At 40.6% G+C, this 25,802-nt stretch overlaps 1 protein-coding gene and 1 long non-coding RNA gene across 13 annotated transcripts in view; one reads left to right on the top strand and one right to left on the bottom strand.

Annotated features, from left to right (window-relative positions):
* GALNT16-AS1 (GALNT16 and EXD2 antisense RNA 1) overlaps window positions 1–25,802 on the bottom strand; it is a 77,510-nt gene that overhangs the window by 12,117 nt on the left and 39,591 nt on the right. For 2 of the 3 annotated variants that reach the window (NR_184249.1, NR_184252.1), the window contains exon 3: window positions 906–1,067. This is a non-coding gene — a long non-coding RNA (GALNT16 and EXD2 antisense RNA 1). Of the gene's footprint in view, window positions 1–367; window positions 1,068–25,802 lie in introns of those variants that run through there. The other variant, NR_184250.1, reaches the window with a different exon arrangement.
* Window positions 1–25,802, top strand: part of EXD2 (exonuclease 3'-5' domain containing 2) — a 52,521-nt gene that overhangs the window by 3,637 nt on the left and 23,082 nt on the right. For 2 of the 10 annotated variants that reach the window (NR_034164.2, NR_034165.2), the window contains exons 2-4: window positions 8,783–8,866; window positions 14,290–14,669; window positions 14,978–15,067. The exons of 2 other annotated variants lie outside the window; for them this stretch is intronic. Coding sequence is in view for 4 of the 8 variants with exons in the window: in NM_001193360.2 (NP_001180289.1) it covers window positions 14,337–14,669 (333 nt within the window). In the remaining 4 variants the exon portion in view is untranslated. Of the gene's footprint in view, window positions 1–8,782; window positions 8,867–14,289; window positions 14,670–14,977; window positions 15,068–18,994; window positions 19,040–25,802 lie in introns of those variants that run through there. 6 more of the 10 variants (NM_001193360.2, NM_001193362.2, NM_001193361.2 and 3 more) reach the window with 4 other exon arrangements.

A 25,802-nucleotide genomic window follows, 5' to 3' on the forward strand; every position in this document is an offset into this window, starting at 1 on the left:
TGAACCCAGAAGGCAGAGGTTGCAGTGAGCTGAAATTGCACCACTGCACTCCAGCCTGAGTAACAGAGCGAGACTCTGTCTCAAAAAAAAAAAAAAAAGAGAGATGAGGTCTCACTCTGTCACTCAGCTGGAGTGCAGTGGCAGCCTTGACCTCCTGGGCTCGAGTGATCCTCCTGCCTCAGCCCCCCAAGTAGCTGGGACTACAGGTGTGTACCACCACACTGGCTAATTTTTGTATTGTTTATAGAGATGAAGTTTCACCATGCTGCGCAGGCTGGTCTTGAACTCCTGGGTTCAAGTGACTCACCCGCCTTGGCCTTCCAAAATGCTGGGATTACAGGTGTGAACCACCACACGCAGCTCCAAATCATTTTTTAATGGCTTTATTGAGAAGTAATTCACACACCATACAATTCTTCAAAGTGTACAATTTAATGATTTTAGTATATTCATAGAGTCGTGCAAACATCACCGTAGTCTAATTTTAGAACATTTTTATCACCCCAAAAAGAAACCCATACCAATTAGAAGTCAGTCCCTATCCCTGACTCCCCTGAGACCCCAGCCCTAGGCAACCACTAATATTTCTGTCTTTCGAGATCTGGGTGTTTTGTGTAAAAGGAATCATACAATGTGTAGTCTTTTGTGACTGACTGCTTTAACTTAGGATAATGTACTGAAGATTCTTCCATGCTATAGCATGTTTCAGTACTTCATTCTTTTTATTACTGAATGAAATTTCATCCTGTGGTATATTTATTTTGTAGGGCTGTGGTCAAAGTAACACAAACTGCTGACTTAAAACAACAGAGGTTTATTCTCTCGCAGTTAAGGAAGCTAGAAGTTCAAAATTAAGGTGTCAGCAGGGTTGTGCTCTTCCTGAAGGCTCTAGGGGAGAATCCTACCTTGCCTCTTCTAGTTCCTGGTGGTTGTTGGCAATCCATGGCATTTCTTGGTTTGCAGTTGCACAACTTCAGTTTCTGCCTCCGTCTTCAAATGGTCACCTTCCCTGTGTGTCTGTCTGCACATTGGATTCGCTCAGCGTAAGCCTGTTTCTTCTCCTCCTCCTGTAAGGACACAAGTCATAGTTGATTAAGGGCGCACCCTACTTCAGTATGACCTCATGTTAACTTGATTACATCTGCGAAGACCCTATTTTCAAATAAGGTCACATTCACAGGTCCTGGGGGTTAGACCTTCAACATATCTTTTTGGGGAATACGATTCAACTCATAACATACGGATATGCTACATTTTATTTATCTGTTCATCAACTAATTGACATTTGAGTTGTTTCCACTTTTGGGCTATTATGAATAGCTATGAACTTTAGTACGGACATGTGTTTTCATTTCCCTTGGGTATATACCTGCCAGTGGCATTGCTAGGTTATATAACTGCCAGACTGTGTTCCAGAGCAGCTGTACCATTTGACATTCCCACCAACAATGCATGAGATTTCTAATTTCTCCACATTATTGCCAGCACTTTTTTTTTTTTTTTTTGAGAGACAGGGTCTTACTCTGTTGACCAGGCTGGAGTGCAGTGGAGTGATCAAAGCTTACTGCAGCCTCAAACTCCTGAACTCAAGCAATCCTCCTGCCTCAGCCTCCCAAGTAGCTAAGTCTATAGGCACACTACCACTCCTGGCCAATTAATTTTTTTTTTTTTTGAGGCAGGGTCTCACTATGTTGCCCAGGCTAGTCTCAAATTCCTGGCGTCAAGTGATCCTCCCACCTTGGATCAGAGTGCTGGAATTACAGGTGTGCACCACCATACTTGGCCTTATTTGTTTTTTTGAATAGAACCATCCTACTTGGTGTAAAGTGGTATCTGATTGTGGTTTGGATTTGCATTTCCCTAACAGCTCATGATATTGAACATCTTTTCAAGTGCTTATTGGCCATTTGTATACCCTCTATCAGGAAATGTCTATTCAGTTAGCTGGACTTGTCTGTTCAGTTAGCACACTTGTAGTCAAGAGGCTGAGGCAGAAGGATCACTTGAGCCCAGGAGTTTGAGGCTGTCGTGAGCTGTGATTGCATCACTGCACTGCAGCCTGGGCAACAGAGCCAGATCTCGTCTCTAAAAAATATATTAAAAAATAAAGAACAGAAATACCTATTCAGATTCTTAGCCAGTTTTTAAATTGGTCTGTCTTTTTATTATTTGGTGGTAAGAGATTTTTGTGTATTCTAGATACACACCCTTCCCAAATATATGATTTGTAAATATTTTTTCCCATTCTGTGGGTTGTCTTTTCGCTGTCTCGATGGTTGATTCATTCTTTTTTTTTTATAATTTCAACTTTTATTTTAAATTCAGGGTGGTACATGTGCAGGTTTGTTACATGGGTAACATGTTATGCTGGAGTTTGGGGTATGGATGAGTCCTTCACTCAGGTATTGGGTATAGGTCGTTTTTCAGCCTGCGGCCCCCTTCCCTGTCTTCCCCTCCCCTCTGGTAGTCCCCAGTGTCTGTTGTTCCCGTCTTTATGTCCATGTGTACTGGGTGTTTAGCTGCACTTACAAGTGAGAACACGCAGTATTTGGTTTTCTGTTCCTGCATTAATTCACTCAGGTCGTGGCCTCCAGCTGATCCATGTTGCTGCATCCATTTTTCTCATCTGCACACAGTCAATTCATTCTTTTAAAAAGTTTTTTAAAATGAAGTTTGTATTGAATTTACATATTATTTTGAGTATTTCTATAAAACAATCTTTTCTTCTTATCAAAAATAGGATAATTATAGTACCTCCCACATAGGGTTATTGAAAGGATTAAATGAATACTTTAATATGAGTATATATGTACATGTAAAGTGCCTGGCACATGATTGGTCCTGTTTGACAGCTGCTATCATACATCTCCACTCTTCTGGTCTTCTTCTAGATCTTCACTAAAGTTTTCTGTTCCTCTTTGTATTGATCTGACACATTTCTTGTTGAATTCTTTCCTAGACTTGTGTATGTGATTATGTGGTTTTTTTATGTAGTTTTAAAATAGTATACAGGTATATTGCTATTATGAATGAGATTTCTTTTTTCACATTTTTATAATAGGTTTGGAAAGCTATTGATTTTATACTCATCAGACTTTCTGAATTACCATATAATTTCTAAAAGTTGGTTGATGACTTTGTTGTTTTTCCAGGTGGTTGTGATGCAGTCATTCTGTTCAGGAGCTGTGGTTCTTTTTCATTCTACATTCCTCTGCCATAATTCGAGTATTCTTTGCCTCTCCGCTCTGCTTTATGAGCTTCTAACAGGTCTCTCTGCCTACGGCCTTGCTCTCCTCCAGGCTAGCACCCACATTAGTACCATGGTGGTCTCATCCTGTCACTCTCCTTATAAGTCTGTTATTTGCTCTCCAGTGTCCTGTAGGATAATGATGGCCCCTCATGACTTGTCCTGTATCTACTCATTCCAGCATCATCTCTATTTCCTTACTTGCACATTATATTTTAGCACAGTAGTGTCCATTAGAAGTAGAATGTGAGCCCCAATTTAAAATTTTCTAGTAGCCACATTAAAGATATAAAAAGAAACAAGGTGAACTGTAGTAATGGCATCACTTAATGAGGATCTGTTCTGTGAAATGTGTCATTTTGTGAACACGATAGAGCACACTTACACGAACCTAGATGGAATAGCTGACTACACACCTAGGCTGTATGGTATAGCTTATTACTCCTAGGCTATAGACCTATATGGCATGTTATTGTACTGAGTCCTGTAGGCAGTTGTAACACAGTGGTAAGTATTTGTGTATCTAAACATACCTAAACATAAAAGTACAGTAAAAATGTGGTATAAAAGCTAAACAGTGGGCCGGGCATGGAGGCTCACGCCTATAATCCCAGTACTTTGGGAGGCTGAGGCGGGCAGATCACCTGAGGTCAGGAGTTCGAGACCAGCCTGGCCAACATGGTGAAACCCCGTCTCTACTAAAAATTTAAAAAATAGTCTTGTGTGGTGGCACACGCCTGTAGCCCCGGCTACTCAGGAGGCTGAGGCAGGAGAATCGCTTGAACTTGGGAGGCAGAGTTTGCAGTGAGCCGAGATCACGCCACTGCACACCAGCCTGGGCAACAGAGTGAGACTCCGTCTCAAGAAAAGATAAATAGTGTTACACTTATGTAGGGTATCTACCATGCATGGAGCTTGCAGGACTGGAAGTTGCTCTGGGTGAACCTGTGAGTGAGTGGTGGGTGAATGTGAAGGCTTAGGACGTGACTGTACACTACTTTAGATCTTATAAACACGTGTGTATTTAGGCTACACTCAAATTATTTAAAATTTTTTTGGAATAATAAGTTAACCTTAGTTTACTATAACTTTTTTATTTTATAAACTTTTTAATTGTTTTAACTTTTTGACTTGTAATAACACTCAGCTTAAGACACAAATATGTTGTACAGCTGTATAAAAATGTTTATCTCTTTATAAGCTCTTTTCAACTTAAAATTTTTTTTTTTTTACCTTTTTAAACTTTTTTGTTAAAAACTAAGACACAAACACATACATTCATGTTAGCTTAGACATACACAGAGTCAGGATCATCAATATCACTGTCTTCCACCTCCACATCTTGTCCCACTGGAAAGTCTTCAGGGGCAATAACAGGCATGGAGCTGTATCTATGATAACAATGCCTTCTGGAATAACTTCGGAAGGAGCTGCCTGAGGTTGCTTTACAGTTAATTTTTTTTATAAGTAGAAGGAGTACACCGTAAAATAAAAAATATGGTAAATAAATAAACCAGTAACATAGTCGTTTATTGTCGTTATCAGGTATGTGCTATACATAATTGCATGTGCTATACTTTTATACGACTGGCTGTGCTGTAGGTTCGTTAACTCCAGCATAATTACACACATTTGTGAGTAACGCATTGTGCAGCAACGTTAGGACGGTTAGGATGGCTATGATGTCACTAGGCAATAGGAATTTTTCTGCACCATTGTAATCTTATAATTTTGTAGAACTATTGTATGTGTCATCTGTTGTTGACCGAAACATTGTTATACAGCACATGACTATATTGAACCCAGTATATTCCAAGCATTATTTCAACATAAATATTAAAAAATCAATATGGAATTCATAGTGATAGAAGGTATAATAGGGCTTATCAGGGGTTAGAAGAGAATGGGAATTCTTGTTGAATTACAGTTTCTATTTGCAAGGATGAAGTTGTTCTGGAAATGGGTGATGGTGATGGTTGCACAGCAGTGTGAATGTACTTATTGTCATTGAATTGTACACTTAAAAATGGCTAAAATGGGCCAGGCGTGGTGGCTCAGGCCTGTAATCCCAGCACTTTGGGAGGCCGAGTCTAGGGGATCGCTTGAGCTCACGAATCTGAGACCAGCCCGGGCAACATTGTGAAACCCCATCTCTACAAAAATAATACAAAAAAAAAATTACCCAGGCATCGTGGGGACTACCTGTAGTCCCAGCTACTTGGGAGGCTAAGATGGGAGGATGGCTTGAGCTCAGGAGGTGGAGGTTGCAGTGAGCCAAGATCGCGCCACTGCACTCCAGCCTTTGCGATAGAGCCAGACCTTGTCTCCAAAAAAAAAAAGGCTAAAATGGTAAATGTTATGTTATATATATTTTACCACGATAAAGAAGTCACCATAAAAATCAGTATGAGGCCAGGCGTGGTGGCTCACGCCTGTAATCTCAGCACTTTGGGAGGCCGAGGTGGGTGGATCACCTGAGGTCAGGAGTTCGAGACCAGCCTGGCCAACATGGTAAAACCCCGTGTCTACTAAAAATACAAAAATTAACCGGGTGTGGTGGCGGGCATCTGTAGTCCTAGCTACTTGGGAGGCTGAGGCAGGAGAATTGCTTGAACTCGGGAGGCAGAAGTTGCAGTGAGCTGAGATCGTGCCATTGCACTCCAGCCGGAGTGACAAGAGCAAAACTCCATCTCAAAAAAAAAAAATCAGTATGGAAATTATAAAAAGTTTACATCCTTTTTTTGTAGTAAGTATTCAAAAATTTGGTGTATATTTTACATGTATAATACATCTTACGTTGGTTTTTTTTGTTTGTTTTTGTTTTTGTGATGGAGTCTTACTCTGTCCCCCAGGCTGGAGTGCAGTGTTATGATCTCAGCTCACTGCAACCTCCGCCTCCTGGGTTCAAGTGATTCTCATGTCTCAGCCTCCTGAGTAACTGGGACTACAAGCACATGCCACAATGCCTGGCTAATTTTTGAATTTTTATTAAAGATGGGGTTTCACCATGCTGACTAGGCCGGTCTCAAACTCCTGATCTCAGGTGATCCTCCCACCTTGGCCTCCCAAACTACTGGGATTACAGGCATGAGCCACTGTGCCCACCTACATTTTACAGTTGTTTAAATGTTTCACCTATCCTGTGGTGCTTCCTGCCCTTCCCATTTGTGCACAAGCTGTTCCCTCCACTTGCAGTGCCCTCCTCCTGTCTGGCTCCTGCACCTGGAGAACTCTTGCTCCTGTTTGAATGCCAGTCTCAGACACCGTCTCTCTCAGCAAGTGTTTTCTCTGTTTTTTTTTTTTTTTTTTTTTTTTTTTTGAGACAGAGTCTTGCTCTGTTGCCCAGGCTGGAGCACAGTGGTGCAATCTCGGCTTACTGCAAGCTCCGCCTCCCGGGTTCAAGCGATTCTTCTGCCTCAGCCTCCTGAGTAGCTGGGAGTGCAGGCGCACACCACCACACCCGGCTAATTTTTGTAATCTTAGTAGAGATGGGGTTTCACCATATTGGTCAGCTGGTGTTGAACTCCTGACCTCAGGTATTCCACCTGCCTCGGCCTCCCAAAGTGCTGGGATTACAGGTGTGAGCCACCGCACTCAGCCATGTTTTCTCTTAATAATACCCCAACTCGGCCAGGTGTGGTGTTCATGCCTGTAATCCTAGCACTTTGGGAGGTTGATGTGGGCAGATCGCTTGAGCTCAGGAGTTCAAGACCAGCCTGGGCAACCTGGCGAAACCCCGTTTCTACCAAAAATATAAAATATTAGCGGGTGTTGGAGCTCAGGAGTTTGAGACCAGCCCAAGCAACCTGGCAAAACCCCGTTTCTACCAAAAATACAAAATATTAGTTGGGGTGCTGTCATGTGCCTGTGGTTGGTCCTAGCTACTTGGGGGGGTTGAGGTGGGAGGATCACTTGAACCCAAGAGGTCAAGGGTGCAGTGAGCTGAGATCATGCCACGGCACTGTAGCCTGGGTGACAAAGTGAGGCCCTGTCTCAAAAAAATAAATAAAAATAAAAACAATATCCCCACTCTTTCCTCAAGTCCAAGCCATTCATGTACTTGTGTGTGCTTCACTTGTTGGTGTTATCCCACTCTTTGCAACTTGTTCATTACGTGTATTTTTCCTTGGCTAAATCATGAATTTTTCGAAGGCAGATTGTGCCTTTCGACTCTTTTTACCCGGGGTCTATCAGTGTCTGACTTATATAATGTGTTGTGTAAAAAGTTTGCTGAATGAATCCCTTGGCTGGAAAAGAAAAAAAAATGCAGTTTACAAAACCTCTTCAAATAAAAATGAATTAATAAAACCGTATGTTAGGAGATGTTATTTTCTCTGAAAACAAATATTCAGTTTTTTATGTAAAATTATGTTTGAGAGGGAAGCATAATCAAGATGCAGATTGGCCTCAATAGATGAAACATTTGGCTGAAACAGACAAGATGAAATTTAGAAGAAGGATTTTTGATTTAAGTACAAAATATAAATTACAAATATATAAAATGAAGAACTTGATTTGGCATCAGTGAATTTTAATTTACTACAAGCTTTATATGACCCAACAATGAGATTCTGTTACTTAAAAATGTATCATTTCATACAGCATTAATATAGGATCCAGCTGCTGGGAAGTAATAGTATCACTGTAGCCTGCATCAGTTAGACCGTGTCTCAAGTTTGTTTGTTTGTTTGTTTGAGGCAGGGTCTCACTCCTGTTGCCTAGGCTGGACAGCAGTGGTGTGATCACAGCTCACTTCAGTCTTGACTTCCCAGGCTCAGGTGATTCTCCCATCTCAGCCTCCTCAGTAGCTGGGGCTATAGGTGCATGCCACCATGCCTGGCTGGCTAGTTTTTTGTAATTTTTTTTTTTTTTTAAGTAGAGATGGGATTTCACCATGTTGCCCTAGGTAGTCTTGAACTCCTGGGCTCAAGCAGTCCGCCTACCTCAGCCTCCCAAAGTGCTGGGATTACAGGCCTGAGCCATCATGCCTGGCTTCAAGTATTGCGTATAGACCTGAATGCCACATTTGAAGAGATACATTAACAAACTTGGGTCTGTGCAGAAGGCCTTGGCCAGGAGAGTCTATAAACCAGGTCACAGGAAGACTATAAGGGGAGTCTCAGAGCTCTCTTCACCTATTTAACAGGCTTTAAGGAGGGAGTAAACACTTGTCATTGCAGAGGCTGTCAAAGAGGGCAATTTGTAAGCAGGAAACTTTTATAGAACGCAAGGACTTTCAACAAAAACTGCCTCTGAAGGTGATGAACTCGGTTACTGGAAGTATTCAGTCAGAGACTAGGTCATGATCTGTTGGGATTATCATGGAAAGGATTCTTGAATTGGGTGGGAGCTGAACTTGACTCCAAAATTTTAACTCTGATTTTTTGATTTCCTTTAATAGAAGTTCTGTGGTTTTGTAGTAATAGCTAACATTTATAGAATCCTAATGTTCTAGCCAATATACTAGGTGAATTTTATTTATCATTTTACTTAAGCCTCACAGTAATCCTACATAATGGTATTCCTATTTCACAGATGAGGAGACTGTCCTTCCTGTTTCGCAGATGAGGAAACTGAGGCTTAGAGAAGTTTGGCAAATTGGCTAAGTTCCTACAGCTAGTGAGTAACAGAGGCTGGATTTAAGCCTACGCTATTTGATGTTAGGTCTTGTGTTGTCTACCATATACTGCATTTCAAACACTTTATACATAATCATTTAACTCATTAAAGTGTGATTTATTCCAAGAATATGATTCTGTGTTTTGTCAAGTGGGATTGCCTATCTCTAAAGAGCACCAGTTTAAAAAGAGTGTATTTTTCTAATTACAAATATGTACATATTCGTATAAAATTTGAAAAATAAAAATTGTTAATAATCCTACTATCATTAGGTAGCCGTTGATATTTAGCCAGGCATAAGGCTCACACCTATAACCCGAGCACTTTGGGAAGGTGAGGCAGGAGGATCACTTGAGCCTAGGAGTTTGAGACCAGCCTGGGCAATATAGTGTGACCCGCATCTCTACAAGAAATCAAAAAATGTGCTGAGCATGGTGGCATGCACCTGTACCCCCAGCTACTCAGGAGGCTGAAGTGGGAGCCCAGGAGGTCGAGGCTGCAGTGAGCCGTGATTGTGCTGCAGTCTAGTCTGGGCAACAGAGTGAAACTCTGTCTTAAAAAAAAAAGTTTTATGTTCAGTTAATTTATATAAAAAACTTAAGAATGACAGATTGTTTCACTGATGAGATTTAGTGAGGGATCGAAAAGCTTGGATCCCAGAGTAAACTGTTACCACAGTTTAATTTTTTTCTGACTCCCAACCCAGTACTGAACCATACTACCTCTTTATAACATCAAGGCTCGATAAGGTTAAAAAACTTTTTTCATTTCAATAAACAGAATGTTGTAATCTGGTGATTGAATTAGAGACATTTATCATACAAATGTTAACATATAATACCTTGAGCTGAATTTCATTCATTCAGTAAATATTTACTGAGTATCATCAGCTCCCTGCTAGTCACTGGGGATAATGGTGGTAACAAAGCCAGTTAAGGTTCCTGTTCTCATGGACAGACAATGAATGAACCAACAGTCACACATTAATCATTCAGGCCAACAGGCTGTTTCCAGTTTTTGGCTGTTACAAATAAGTAACTGCTATGAACATTCTTATATGAGTCTTTTTGTGAATAGATTTAATTTATCCAGCTTGGGGCTCAGAGAATAGTACCAAATCTGACCCCCTTCATACATTCCAAATCTTTATTCCATGAATATTGGAGTTTCTCAGTCCATTCCCCATGTCTCTGCTTTGTTGTGTATTCTTTCTGTTTTAAAATTTTTTTTAGTAAAGATGGGATCTCATTATGTTGCCCAGGTTGGTCTTGAACTCCTGGGCTCAAGTGATGCTCCCACCTCGGCCTCCCAAAGCGTTGAGATTACAGGCGTGAGACACCATGCTTCGCCTCAGTATGTTTTCTCCCTCTTTATCTGTCTACTACATTCTGGTGACTTCCTCAGATTTTTTTCTTCAATTCATTAACTCTTTCTGTATGTCTGGTCTACATTTTAACCTGTCTATTGAGTATTGAGTTTTTAAAAATTTTTAATAAATATTTTTCATATCTAGAATGTATATATTTTTGTCTTTGTTTTAGTTATTATTTTCATTAATATCTCTGAATATTCTTTAAAGTCCTTTTCAGATCTCAAGTATGGAAATCTTTGTTTGATGGCTCTATGCACTATTTTTATTGGCTTTAGGATTTTGTTTTGTTGTGATTCATTGTGAGACCCCTTCTAGGGACTGATCTTCCATGGTAGTCCTGTATGTTTCCTATGTGGGGTGTGTTTGTGTGTGTGTGTTATGATAGACTCTGCCTGGTTCCAATAGAATTTACCAGTTCTGAACCAGTGTAAATTCAATTTCTTGGCTTAGGGTTCCCTTTTATGAGGATAATGTGAACTTGGGCCTTGTATCTGCTTGAGCCATAGAGAAGTGTAGGCTTGAGGATTTGTCTTTTATTTTTTAATTTATTTTTTATTTTTATTTGAGACATAGTCTCACTCTGTTGCCCAGGTTGGAGTGCAGTGGCGTGATCTTGGCTCACTGCAATCTCCACCTCCCAGGTTCTAGTGATTCTCATGCCTCAGCCTCTGGAGTAGCTGGGATTACAGGCATGCACCACCACACCTGGCTAATTTTTGTGTTTTTAGTAGAGAGACGGGCTTTCACTAAGTTGGCCAGGCTGATTTCAAACTCCTGGGCTCAAGCTGTCTGTCCGCCTTGGCCTCCCAAAGTGCTGGGATTACAGGTGTGAGCCACTGCACCCAGCTGAGGAATTTTCCTCTTTCAAGGGACTCTGTTCATGCCTTTGGCCTGGGGCAGGTGGCTTGCCCAGGCCAAGGTGGGTAAATACTTCTGGTTTGTGGATAGGGTGGCACTCCCCTGGATTCCAGCTGTGTCTTGGGCCTGTGGCCTAGAGTTCTGCCTCTGGGTTGCTGATATACTCCAGCGCTGGGGCTGGCATGAGTTCTGGTCTCTGCCCAGCTTCATCTCCCACCCACCCACTTTTTTTTTTTTTTTTTTTTTTTTTTTTTTTGAGATAGGGTCTCACTCTCTCACCCAGGCTAGAGTGCAGTGGGTGCAGTGGCACACCATCACAGCTTCCTGTAGCCTTGACCTCCCCGGCTCAAGCTATCCTCCCACCTCAGGCCCCCCAAGTAGCTGATACTTAAGGCATGTGCCACCACGCCCAGCTAATTTTTTATATTTTTGGTGTAGATGGGGTTTCACCATGTTGCCCAGGCTGATCTCAAACTCCTAGGCTCAAGCCGTCCACCTGCCTCGGCCTCCCAAAGTGCTGGGATTACAGGCATGAGCCACTGCGCCCAGCCTTCCACCCACTTGGGGTTTCCTCCTCCCTTTCTGGCACCTGATGATTTCTTTCTTTCTTTTGGGGGCTTAACTGTGTTTTACATTTTTATCTTTTCAGTGGTTTCTCCAGCATTTGCATTGTTTAGAGTGGAAAAGGGAAGGACTTTTATGTCTTCTCAGATTACCTTAATCAGCAGTTTCTCTACACAAGTTATTTAATCTCATTAAGCTTCAGTTTCCTCTTCAATAAAAGCACTGGAGAAAATACATATGAAATTCTTAGCACAGTTTCTGGAATAAAGTAAATGTTTTTAAAACAGCATAACTATTACCACTTTTCATTATTACTCTAATAATTGTTGTAATTCAGTTTTTCTTCTCTAATACTCACATATCTCTACAGGCATGATTATAATCCAGAAGTTATTGTAAATATGAAATTTTTTTTTTGGCCCAGTGCAGTGGCTCACACCTGTAATCACAGCATTTTGGGAGGCTGAGACAGGTGAATCACTTGAGGTCAGGAGTTCAAGACCAGCCTGGCCAACATGGTAAAACCCTGTCTCTACTAAAAATACACAAATTAGCTGGGTATGGTGGCATACCCCTGTAGTCCCAGCTGCTTGGGAGGCTGAGGCAGGAGAATCACTTGAACTCAGGAGGCGGATACTGCAGTGAGCCGAGATCATGCCACTGCACACAGGTCTGGGCGACGGCGAGAGACTCCATCTAATAAAAAAAAAATTTAAAGTTATTGATGAAACTTTTAAATAGTAATAAAAACCATACACATTCAGTGGGAAACCTTCAGCCATAGAGAAGTATAGGCAGGGTGCAGCTGATTGCTCTGTCTTTGGGCAATTTAGCTTTTAGGCCAGAGGCCACAGATGGGTAGCCTGGTGTGTGCCTAGGGTGTTTTTGTTTGGCTGGCGCAATATTTTTTAAAACTGTAAGTTTATTGCCAGCATTTAAAAATGGTGACATTTCATGTAAAATTCAGATACCTGACTTATCTTAAACAAGCAAAGTATTTGACCACACTGGGCCTTCTTCCTGCACAGGATCATCAGCTTGTGCCGAATGGTTGCTGCTCCATGTTTTCTCCCTGGCCCTGAGACCAAAGGCCATTTACTTTTTTTTTTTTTTTCTTTTTTGAGACAGAGTCTTACTCTTATCACCCAGGCTGGAGTGCAGTGGCTCAGTTTCGGCTGACTGAAACCTCCACCTCCCAAGTTCCAGCTATTCTCCTGCCTCAGCCTCCTGAGTAGCTGGGATTACAGGTGCCCACCACCACGCCTGGCTAATTTTTGTGTTTTTAGTAGAGATGGGGTTTCACCATGTTAGCCAGGCTGGAACGAACTCCTGACCTCAGGTGATCCACCTGCCTTGGCCTCCCAAAGTCCTGGGATTACAGGCATGAGCCACTGCACCTGGCCAGGCCACTTACTATTTTTTTTTTTTTTTTTTGAGACGGAGTCTCACTCTGTCACCCAGACTGGAGTGCAGTGGCACGATCTCGGCTCACTGCAAGCTCCGCCTCCCGGGTTCATACCATTCTCCTGCCTCAGCCTCCCAAGTAGCTGCGGCAACAGGCGCCCGCCACCACGCCTGGCTAATTTCTTGTCTTTTTAGTAGAGACGGGGTTTCACTGTGTTAGCCGGGATGGTCTCGATCTCCTGACCTCGTGATCCACCTGCCTCGGCCTCCCAAAGTGCTGGGATTACAGGCATGAGCCACCGCGCCCGGCCCAGGCCACTTACTATTTACTGTTGCACTTTTACTGTTATTTTAATAGAACAGAAATAGTGCTGTATACTCATTTCTTTCTCACATATAGGAAAACAGAAACTACATGGAGAAAGCCACATGTTACAGAAAAATGAAAAAGGAACTATTTTGTGGCTTGCTTCATTGATTTACATTAACCTGCCTGGCGCTGTGGACACTTCAGTTTGCATCCGCCTTCTATGCATCTTGTATATCTCTCTAAGTTCTACCTTTTTCTTTTGCTTTTCTGATCCTTTCTCTTTTGTACCCCCGCTGGCTTACCCTACAATAACCGTATCAGTTTCTATGGAGAACTGCTGAGCCTTCTGGAGCAACAGAAAGTGTTGAGTCAAACCTGTTTCCTCCACTCCCTCACTGCCGCACCTTCCAGAGAAGTAAAAAAAGTCTCCCTACCAACTGACTGATGATTACAATTTTTTTTAAATTGAGAAGCAGTTTTCCTTCAACTGTTAGGTGATCAAAGGTTTAAAATACAAAATACTTTGAAGAAGATCCATTAACTAAAAAATTCATTCATTAATCAGCAGTTAGAGGTGAGAGTCTAGCTTATTGTTTTTTTTTCTTCCTAGATCACACTTCATTGTGTACATAGCCTGTTGTTTTGACTGATATGATTTTATATCATTAAGAGAGCCATGGGGAACTGTCAGAGGGCAGGGAGATTTCCTGGGGTGAGGATGGAGATAGAGATGGAATACAGAGATTATAAAGATGAAGAAATTAAACCATTGCTACTATTTCACATGGAAATTTATAGCAGTTGTTTTAGTTTGTGGGCACAGAGATTATAAATGGGGCATTTTTTAGAGGAAAACTTGTTTATGTAAAGGTTTATATTCTGTATATAAATATATTTTTGCCATTTGTTTTGCAGATTGTGGGATTAGTGATATGCTTTTCTAAAGAGTAGAAAAGTCGAAGATGTCTAGACAGAACTTAGTGGCTTTGACAGTGACTACCCTTCTGGGTGTGGCTGTAGGGGGGTTTGTCCTCTGGAAAGGCATCCAGCGCCGCCGAAGGAGTAAAACGAGTCCTGTGACCCAACAGCCACAGCAGAAAGTGCTGGGCAGTAGAGAGCTGCCCCCTCCAGAAGATGATCAGCTGCACTCCAGTGCCCCCAGATCCTCGTGGAAGGAACGGATCCTTAAAGCAAAGGTGGTGACGGTGTCTCAGGAGGCAGAGTGGGATCAAATCGAGCCCTTGCTTAGAAGTGAATTAGAAGATTTTCCAGTACTTGGAATTGACTGTGAGTGGGTAAGTTAAAAAGCAAAAGTTAAAAAAAAAAAAAAAAAACAACTTCTGCTTTTCCAACTGGGACCTTGGACAGTCAAGTAGAAAATAAGGTTAAAGGAGAATGAATTAGCTTGTTCTCAACTTGCTTATAAGCAGATTTTAGCAGAAGAAGAAGCTGCTGTTCCTCTCAGGATGGCGGAGTGCTTACAATTATGGATTACAATTATGTCAAACCTATATGAATTGTATTTTCCCCACTTATCATTCCGTGAACTTGGACAAGCTATTTAGCCTCTCTAAGTCTTTGTTTGTTTGGTTGTTTGTAATAGGAACGTCATGGTACCTACCTCCAGTGGCTTTTCTAAGGATTCAAATAGATCACCCCCATAAAGGATTCAGCACAGTGTGAACATATAGTAGTAAGTGTTCATGAAATATTAGCCACTGTTAATATTTGTAGTAGCATTTTCATAAGGATGCCGTGGAGAAAATAGCTAAGGAATTCTATTTAAATGGAAATTATTACTTAGGATTTTAAAAGATAACAGTTAACATTTGAAACATCATTTACTCTAAGCCATGTACTATATGTTTTGCTTGCATCATCTAATTTTCACCATATGGGCATAACTTGGAGATATTGTAGGTTCGATGTTAGACCATGGCAATAAAGCAAATCTTGCAAAAAAGTGAGTTACATGAGTTTTTTGGTTTCCCAGTGCATATAAAAGTTATGCTTATGCTGAGTGTGGCGGTGGCTCATGACTGTAATCCCAGCACTTTGGTAGGCTAAGGTGGGGAAAATCAGTTGAGGCGGGGAGTTTAATACCAGTCAGCCAGGTCAGCATAGCGAGACTCCATCTCTACAAAAAGAGAAATTAGCCAGGTGTGGTGACACCCACCTGTAGTCCCAGCAACTTGGGAGGCTGAGGCAGGAGGATTGCTTGAGCCCAGGAGGTTGAAGCTGTCGTGAGCTATGAACACACCACTGCACTTCAGCCTGAGTGGCAGAGGGAGATCCTGTCTCGGGGAAAAAAAAATGTTGTGTTTATACTATACTATAGTTTATTAAGTATGCAATAACATTATATCTTTAAAAAGTACATTAATTAGTTTATTGCTAGAAATTGCTAATAATTATCTAAGCCTTCAGCAAGTTGTAATCTTTTTGCTGGTGGAGGGTCTTGCCTTGATATTGATGGCTGCTGACTGATCAGGGTAGTGGTTGCTGAAGGTTGGAGTTCCTGTGACAGTTTCTTAAAATAAGACAACAAAGAAGTTTGCCACATTGGTTGACTCTTCCTTTCATGAGAGATTTTTCTCTACTATGTGGTGCTGTTTAATAGCATTTTACCCACAGTAGAACTTCTTTCAAAATTGGAGTCAGTCCTCTGAAACCCTGCCATTGCTTTATCAACTAAGTTTATGCAATATTCTAAATCTTTTGTTGTCATTTCAACAGTGTTCACAGCATCTTTACCAGGAGTAGATTCCATCTCAAGAAACCACTTTCTTTGCTCATCCATAAAAAGCAACTCTTCATCTGTTAAAGTTTTATCATGAGATTGCAGCAGTTTAATAACATCTTCAGGTTCCACCCCTAATGCTATTTCTCTTGCTGTATCCAGGAAATGTAATTAAAAGAGTCCCTAAGCAGAATGGCTCCACAAAATCAGTTCACAGGTTGATAGAAGAGGCTACTAGATGCCAACACTGTGATGACCAAAAAGAGAACACCTGACAGTGTGGGGAAATCTTTGTAGTCACAAAAGCCCTTACACCACAGCTACTGAGGGTGTTTCTTTATATCAGCAATAGTAGTAGTCGTTTATACCAATGACCTTGGGCCATCAAGAAAGGATCAGTGATTTTAATCTATTCTGTGTAAAAAGTTACATCATTTTAGAACTATTTACATCAGCAACAATAGAAGAAAATAGGGTTTAAGTGGTAAGCTCTAGCAGATTAGGAAAATTCACCTGTGCCAAGCACCTGGATTATTCCAACTAAACGAAGGATAACTTGAGCAACAGCAGGGTAGACTGAAGTGAATAGTAATTGATCTGATAATAATACACTTTAATTACTATAGCAGAGGCATAGAAAAGTTAAAGTGGCAAATAATCTAACCCCACCTCATTTTGACTTTTGATGTGTATTAAACTCAGGTTGGATTCCACATTTCCCTTTAGGCATGACTGCATTTTCCTGATTGCTGTCATAAAAAACTCAATGAAAAAGTCATTCATGGCTTCCTTCCTTGTAAAAATAAGATAGAATAAATTTAAGAGATGAATAGAAAACAAAAATAGGCTGGGCGCGGTAGCCCACGCCTGTAATCCTAGCACTTTGGGAGGCCGAGGCGGGCAGATCACTTGAGGTCAGGAGTTCGAGACCAGCCTGGCAAGCATGGTGAAATCCTCCCCTCTACTAAAAATACAAAAATTAGCCAGGCGTGGTAGCAGGCGCCTGTAATCCTAGCTACTTGGGAGGCTGAGGCAGGAGAATTGCTTGAGCCCAGGAGGTGGAGGTTGCAGTGAGCCGAGATCACGCCACTGCATTCCAACCTGAGCGACAGAGCAAGTGAGACCCTGTCTCAAAAAAAGAAAAAACGAAGACAGAAATGAAAAATCATCCATTCTTGCTCTATTTATTCCTCCATTCCTGTTTTGCTTTCCTTTTCATTCACTTTTATGTAAATGTTTATTCGATTATTATTTTTGTTCTTCTTTATTGTTTTTTTTTTTTAGAGACAGGGTGGTGTCACTCTGTTTCCCAGGCTGGAATGCAGTGGTACTTATCATAGTTCACTGAACCTCGAACTCATGGGCTAAAATGATCCTTCTGTCTCAGCCTCCCATGTAGCTAGGACTACAGGTATGTGCCACCACTGTCACTTGGTTCCAATGGTTCTTGATTTTTTTTTTTTTTTTTTTTTTTTTTGAGACAAGATCTTACTCTGTCACCCAGGCTGGAGTGCAGTGGTGGGATTTTGGCTCACTTTAGCCTTGACCTCCCTGGGCTCAGATGATTGTCTCACCTCAGCCTCCTGAGTAGCTGGAACTACAGGTGTGCGCCACCACACCTGGCTAATTTTTTTGTATTTTTAGTAGAGACGGGGTTTTGCGGTGTGGTCCGGGCTGGTTTCAAACTCTTGGACTCAAGCAATCCATTCGCCTCAGTCCCACAAAGTGCTGAGATTACAGGCGTGAGCAACCGTGCCTGGCCTATGTTGTTGTTTTATAGTCAATATTTGTTTAGATTTACCAAAGTGTTTACCTTCCTGTATTCTTCTTCTTTTCTTTTTTTTTTTTTTTTGTAGATGGGGTCTTGCTCTTTTGCCCAGGCTGGAATGCAGTTGTGCGATCACAGCTAACTGCAGCCTTAACCTCCCAGGCCCAAGTAATCCTCCCTCCTGAGTAGCTGGGATTACAGGTGTGAGCCACCACATGCCATCTCTTTTTCACAGAGACAGGATTTTGCTGTGTTGCCCAGGCTGGTCCCAAACTCCTAGGCTCAAGTGATCCTCCTGCCTTGGCCTCCCAAAATGTGCTGGGGTTACAGGTGTGTGTGAGCTACCATGCTGGGCCCTTTTTTTTTTTTTTTTTTTTTTTTTAAGAGATGAGGTCTTGCTTTGTTGTGCAGTTGTGTGAGCATGGCTCACTGCAGCCTCAAACTCCTGGGCTCAAGTGATCCTCCTGCCTCAGCCTCCTGAGTAACTGGGACTACAGGCATGTGCCACTGCACCTGGATAATTTTTTTTTTTTTTTTTTTTGTAGAAATGGGGTCTTGTTGTGTTGCCCTGGCTGGTCTTCAACTCCTGGCCTCAAGTGATCCTCTCACTTGGTCCTCCTACAAGCATAAGCCACTGCATCCAGCTGTATTTACCTTTTTTTTTGTTTTTTTTTTGAGACAGAGTCTCCAAGGCTGGAGTACATTAGTGCAATCTTGACTCACTGCAACCTTTGCCTCCCGGGTTCAAGTGATTCTCCTGCCTCAGCCTCCTGAGTAGCTGGGAGTACAGGTGTGTGCCACAATGCCCGTCTAATTTTTTCTATTTTTAGTAGAGACAGGGTTTCACTGTGTTAGCCAGGGTGGTCTCGATCTCCTGACCTTGTATTTACCTTTTTCTTTGCTTACATTTTTCTTATATCTCTGACCTTCTTTTGGGGATCATTTTCCTTAAAATCGTTCTTTAACAGTTTAGGGCCCATTGATAATAAACTTCATCATTTTGAAAATGTCTGTATTTTGATTTTAATCTTAAAGAGATTTTCTCTGGGTGTAAAGTTCTGGTTTGGCAGTTTATCATTTTCAGGATAGTATTCCATTGCCTTCTGGCTTCCGTTATTGCTGTTGAAGATAACTGTCAGTCTATACCTTGATTCTTTGTAAGTAATGTAATTTTTTCATATCTCTTCTTAAGATCTTCTCTTTGAGTTTATGGTTCTGAAGGTTCACTATGATGAGTCTAGGTGTTTTATTTCTAGCTTGGGATTCAGAAAAATATCTGGATAATAGGATTGATGTTTTATCAATTTAAAATTTCTCTTTAAAGATTGTCTTTATCCTTTCTTCTTTCTTGCTGGAATTTAATATTTAACATATCTTAGTCTCTCTAGATTCATTATATACGATTTCTTCTGGTCTCTTTTACAATTCCCTTTTTCTTTATTTGGCTTTGTCTAATCTGTTTAACCTGCCCCTGAGTCTTTTTTTAGACTTTTTTATTGTGAAATATAACACATCAAGAAAAGTGCCTGGAACAAAAATAAACACTGAATGATTTATGTAAAGAGAACAGCTCAGCTGTGTAACTAGAAACTAGGTCAAGAAACGTAAGATTGCTAGGACTCCAGGAGCTCCTGTTGTGTCCACTTGAAATCATTGTCCCCTCACTGCCCTCTGAGGGTTACCATTATCCTGTCTCAAGAAAGTCTATTTACTTTCTTGTTTTCTTTATACTTTTACTGCTTAGGCATGCCTCCCTCATCACTATAGTTTAATTTTACCTGTTTTTTAAATTTAGTATAAATGAATCATCGAGTATGTGCTCTTTTTTGTCTTGCTTCTTTTTCCAAACATTGTGAGATTTACCTGTGTTGGGTGTGACTATGATTTGTTGCCATATAGTGTTCCATGGTATAAATATACCATGACTTATTTTTCCATTCTATTATTGATGGACATTTATATATATATATAAAATACAGTATAGTCCGGGCGTGGTGGCTAACACCTGTAATCTCAGCACTTTGGGAGGCCAAGGTGGGTGGATCACCTGAACCTGAGGTCAGGAGTTCAAGACCAGCCTGGCCAACATGGTGAAACCCCGTCTCTACTAAAAATACAAAAATTAGCCAGGTGTGGTGATGCATACAGGTATAATCCCAGTTACTTGGGAGGCTGAGGCAGAAGAATTGCTGGAACCCAGGAGGCAGAGGTTGCAGTGAGCTGAGAGTGTGCCACTGCACTCCAGCCTGGGTGACACAGCGAGACTCCATCTCAAAAATATATGTGTGTGTGTGTGTGTGTGTGTGTGTGTGTGTGTATAATACAATATATCATTTACATTTGGGGGCTCTTGCAAAGAATGGTGCAATTGAACATTTACACTCATTATTGGGCGTATGTGTCTATGAGTGGAGTTCTGGGTCAAGGAGTTTGTGTGCACATGCACGCACAATTTTAACTTTTATAGATGATGCCAAACTGTTTACCAAGATCTTTTTATGAATTTACCTTCCCATCCGTAGCATATGACTGATTCCATTGTTTCTAGCTGTTTTCAGAAGTGATTACACTAATTTAACCTCCCTATATATGAAAATTGCCTTTGTTTTACATCCTTGTCCACATTTGGTACTGTCATATTTTAAAATTTTATCCATTCTGTTGGGCTTGTAGTAATAGTTCACTATTATTTTAATTTGCATATTCCAGATTACTAATGAAATTGAACATCTTTTTGTATTTTAATGGTCATTTAGATATCCTCTTTTATGCAGTGTCCATTCAAGTCTCTTGCCTCATTTTCTTTTTTTTTTTTGCCTCATTTTCTATCGAGTTGTCTTTATAGAAGTTCTTTACATATTCTGCATATGAACCCTCCGGGAGTTAAATTTGTGTTGTGAATGTTTTCTCCCATTCTGTGAATTGCCTTTACATTCTTTTGATGTTTAATTTTGATAAACAGAAGATCTGTGTAGTACAGTTGATCAAGTCTTTCCCTATACACAGTCATGAACATATTCTCCCCATGTCATTTTCTTGGAGTTTTATGGTTTTAACCTTGGCGATTCAGATTTACAATCCACCTGAAATTGATTTTTTAGGTGTGTTTGTATATGATGTGTGGTAGGGTTAAGTTTAATTTTTTCTCCTAAAGGGATAGTCAATCTGCCTAGAATCACAGATTGAACAGATAAACCTTTCCTGATTGCTCTGCAATGCCACTTTATCACAAAACAAGTGTCTGTATGTGTCTAGATCTGTTTTTGTCTTCTTGATTGTCTAATTTTCTGTTGTTGCACCAATTATTATATACTTTCTTATTTACCATTGCTTTAAAATAACTCTGGATATCTGGGGCAGCAAGACCTGCCATCTTGTTCTTTTTCCACAATATCTTGGATAATCTTGATACTCTACATTTTCTTTTTTGTGATGGAGTCTCACTCTGTCACTCAGACTGGAGTGCAGTGGCATGATCTCGGCTCACTGCAGCCTCCACCTCCTGGGTTCAAGCCATTCTCCTGCCTCAGCCACCCGAGTAGCTGGGACAATAGGTGCCTGCTACCACACCTGGCTTACATTTTCTTATACGTTTTAGAATCAATTTTCAGGTCCTATAAAATTTTCTTGAAATTTTGATTGAGATTGTATTGTATAGATCAGTTTGTAGGGAACTGACTTCTTTATATTATTGAAGGGTTTTAAAAAATTGACATGAAATTATATATATTATGTATAATGTTTTATGCATATATACATTGCGGGATAATTAAATCTAGCTAATTAACAAGTGCATTACTTCACATAGTTATCATTTTTAATGATGAGAACACTTAACATACACTATCTTTGCATTTTAGTAATACAATATATCATCATTAACTATAGTCACCATGCTGTACACTAGATGTCTTGAACTCATCCCTCCTATGTAACTGTAATTATATATTCTTTGATCAACATTTTCTCATCCTCCTCTCCTCCCAACCATCCTGGCCTGTGGTAAACACTATTCTACTCTCTACTTCTATGAGATCAACTCTTTTATTTTTTAGAGACATGTTCTCGCTCTGTTACCCAGGCTAGAGTGCAGTGGCGTGATCATAACTCACTACAGCCTTGAGGTCCTAGGCTCAATCAGTCCTCCTGCCTTACCCTCCCAAGTAGCTAGGACTATAGGCACACACTACCACAACTGGCTAATTTTTATTTTTATTTTTTAGAGATGAAGTCTCACTGTGATTCTTAGGCTGGTCTTGAATTTCTGGCCTCAAGTGATCCTTCCACCTCAGCCTCCCGAGTAGCTGGGATTATGGGAGGGAGCTACTATGCCCACCAAGGTCAACTTTTTTAGATTCCACATATGAGTGGGCTCATGCAGTATTTATCTTTCTGTGCCTGGCTTATTTCACTTAACATAATGTCTTCCAGGTTTAGCCATGTTGTCACAAATGACAAGATTTCATTATTTTTTATGGACAAATAATATTCCATTTTGGAGGGAGAGATTTATATATCACATTTTCTTTTTTTTTTATTATACTTTAAGTTATAGGGTACATGTACACAACATGCAGGTTTGTTACATATGTATACTTGTGCCATGTTGGTGTGCTGCACCCATTAACTCGTCATTTACATTAGGTATATCTCCTAATGCTATCCCTTCCCCCTCCCCCCACTCCATGACAGGCCCCAGTGTGTGATGTTCCCCTTCCTGTGACCAAGTGTTCTCATTGTTCAATTCCCACCTATGAGTGAGAACATGCGGTGTTTGGTTTTTTGTCCTTGCGATAGTTTGCTGAGAATGATGGTTTCCAACTTCATCTATGTCCCTACAAAGGACATGAACTCATCCTTTTTTATGGCTGCATAGTATTCCATGGTGTATATGTGCCACATTTTCTTAATCCAGTCTATCATTGATGGACATTTGGTTCCAAGTCTTTGCTGTTGTGAATAGTGCCACAATAAACATACGTGTGCATGTGTCTTTATAGCAGCATGATTTATAATCCTTTGGGTATATACCCAGTAATGGGATGGCTGAGTCAAATGGTATTTCTAATTCTGGATCCTTGAGGAATCGCCACACTGTCTTCTACAATGGTTGAACTAGTTTACAGTCCCACCAACAGTGTAAAAGTGTTCCTATTTCTCCACATCCTCTCCAGCACCTGTTGTTTCCTGACTTTTTAATGATCGCCATTCTAACTGGTGTGAGATGGTATCTCATTGTGGTTTTGATTTGCATTTCTCTGATGGCCCGTGATGATGAACATTTTTTCATGTGTCTTTTGGCTGCATAAATGTCTTCTTTTGAGTAGTGTCTGTTCATATCCTTTGCCCACTTTTTGATGGAGTTTTTTTCTTGTAAATTTGTTTGAGTTCTTTGTTGATTCTGGATATTAGCCCTTTATCAGATGAGTAGATTGCAAAAATTTTCTCCCATTCTGTAGGTTGCCTGTTCACTCTGATGGTAGTTTCTTTTGCTGTGCAGAAGCTCTTTAGTTTAATTAGATCCCATTTGTCAATTTTGTCTTTGTTGCCATTGCTTTTGGTGTTTTAGACATGAAGTCCTTGCCCATGCCTATGTCCTGGCATGGACAAGGTTTATGGTTTTAGGTCTAACATTTAAGTCTTTAATCCATCTTGAATTAATTTTTGTATAAGGTGTAAGGAAGGGATCCAGTTTCAGCTTTCTAGATATGCTAGCCAGTTTTCCCAGCACCATTTATTAAATAGGGAATCCTTTCCCCATTTCTTGTTTTTTTCAGGTTTGTCAAAGATCAGATGGTTGTAGATGTGTGGTATTATTTTTGAGCGCTCTGTTCCGTTCCAGTGGTCTATATCTCTGTTTTGGTACCAGTACCATGCTGCTTTGGTTACTGTAGCCTTGTAGTATAGTTTGAAGTCAGGTAGCATGATGTCTCCAGCTTTGTTCTTTTGGCTTAGGATTGTCTTGGCAATGCAGGCTGTTTTTTGGTTACATATGAACTTTAAAGTAGTTTTTTCCAATTCTGTGAAGAAAGTCATTGGTAGCTTGATAAGGATGGCATTGAATCTATAAATTACCTTGGGCAGTATGGCCATTTTCACGATATTGATTCTTCCTATCCATGAGCATGGAATATTCTTCCATTTGTTTGTGTCCTGTTTTATTTCATTGAGCAGTGGTTTGTAGTTCTCCTTGAAGAGGTCCTTCACATCCCTTGTAAGTTGGATTCCTAGGTATTTTATTCTCTTTGAAGCAATTGTGAATGGGAGTTCACTCATGATTTGGCTCTCTGTTTGTCTGTTATTGGTGTATAAAAATGCTTTGATTTTTGCACATTGATTTTATATCCTGAGTCACATTTTCTTTATCCATTCTTCTGTTGATGAACACTTAGGTTGATTCTATATCTTGGCTATTATGAATGGTGCTGCAGTAAACATGGGTGTGCAGCTATCTCTTTGACATACTAATTTTATTTCACTTGGGTATATATCCAGTAGTGGAATTGTTAGACCACAATATTGAGTTTTTGAATCTAAGTGTTTGTTTAGACCTTTAGTTTCTTTTAATAATGTATTTATAGTTTTCTGTGATTTTTAAATTTAAGTATAAATGGAGATTTTAAACATTTTTCTGTTTCTGGTACATGGAAAAATGCAACTGAGTTTTACATATTTCTCTTGTATTAAGGAATCTTTCTAAACTCACTTGTTCTAATTACTTGTAGATTCTTTTGGATTTCTATATAGACTATTATCTTTGAAAATGACCATTTTATTTCTTTCCCGTCCTTGTCATTTTTTCTTTCTTTTCTTGCCTTGGTGTACCTGGCTAGGATCACAGTACAGTGTTCAGTAGATGTGGTGATAGTGGACATCCTTGACTTATGCCCTATCTCAAAATGACAGCTTTTAACATTTCACCTTGAAGTATAATATCTGCAGTAGGTTTGTAGATCCCTTTATCAGATTAAATCTGTTCATTTCTATTCTTGGTTTGCTAAGAGTTTTTTTTTTAAATCATGAATGGTTGGTGAATTTAATCAAATGTTTTCTGCATTTGTTGAGATAATTATATATCTTCTCTCTTTATGCTGTTATTGTGTTGAAATACATTGATTTTTGAATTCCTGGGATAAATGCCCTCCTCCTGTCTGGCGCCTGCACCTGGGCAACTCTTGCTCCTGTTTGAATGCCAGTCTCAGACACCATCTCTCTCAGCAAGTGTTTTGTCTCTCTGTTTTTTTTTTTTTTTTTTTTTTTTTTTTTTTTTTTGAGACAGAGTCTCGCTCTGTCACCCAGGCTGGAGTACAGTGGCATGATCTTGGCTCACTTCAAGCTCCACCTCCCGGGTTCACGCCATACTCCTGCCTCAGCCTCCCGAGTAGCTGGGACTACAGGCGCCCGCCACCATGCCCGGCTAATTTTTTGTATTTTTAGTAGAGACGGGGTTTCACTGTGGTCTCGATCTCCTGACCTCGTGATCCGCCCACCTCAGCCTCCCAAAGTGCTGGGATTACAAGTGTGAGCCACCGTGCTGGGCATTTTTTTTTTTTTTTTAAAGAGACAGAGTTGGGCCGGGTGCAGTGGCTCACTCCGGTAATCCCAGCACTTTGGGAGGCCGAGGTGGGCGGATCATGAAGTCAGGAGTTCGAGACCAGCCTGGCCAACATGGTGAAACCCCGTCTCTTCTAAAAATACAAAAATTAGCCGGGCTTGGTTGTGGGTGCCTGTAATCCCAGCTACTGGGAAGGCTGAGGCAGGAGAATCGCTTGAAACCGGAAGGCAGAGGTTGCAGTGAACCAAGATTGTGCCACTGCACTCCAGCCTGGTCAACAAGAGTGAAACTCTTTCTAAGTCAATCAATCAATAAGAGATAGAGTTGTCCTTTTGCCCAGGTTGGAGTGCAGTGTCTCAGTCATA

The sequence above is a fragment of the Homo sapiens genome, chromosome 14, assembly GCF_000001405.40.
Source record: "Homo sapiens chromosome 14, GRCh38.p14 Primary Assembly".
Lineage (NCBI taxonomy): Eukaryota > Metazoa > Chordata > Mammalia > Primates > Hominidae > Homo > Homo sapiens.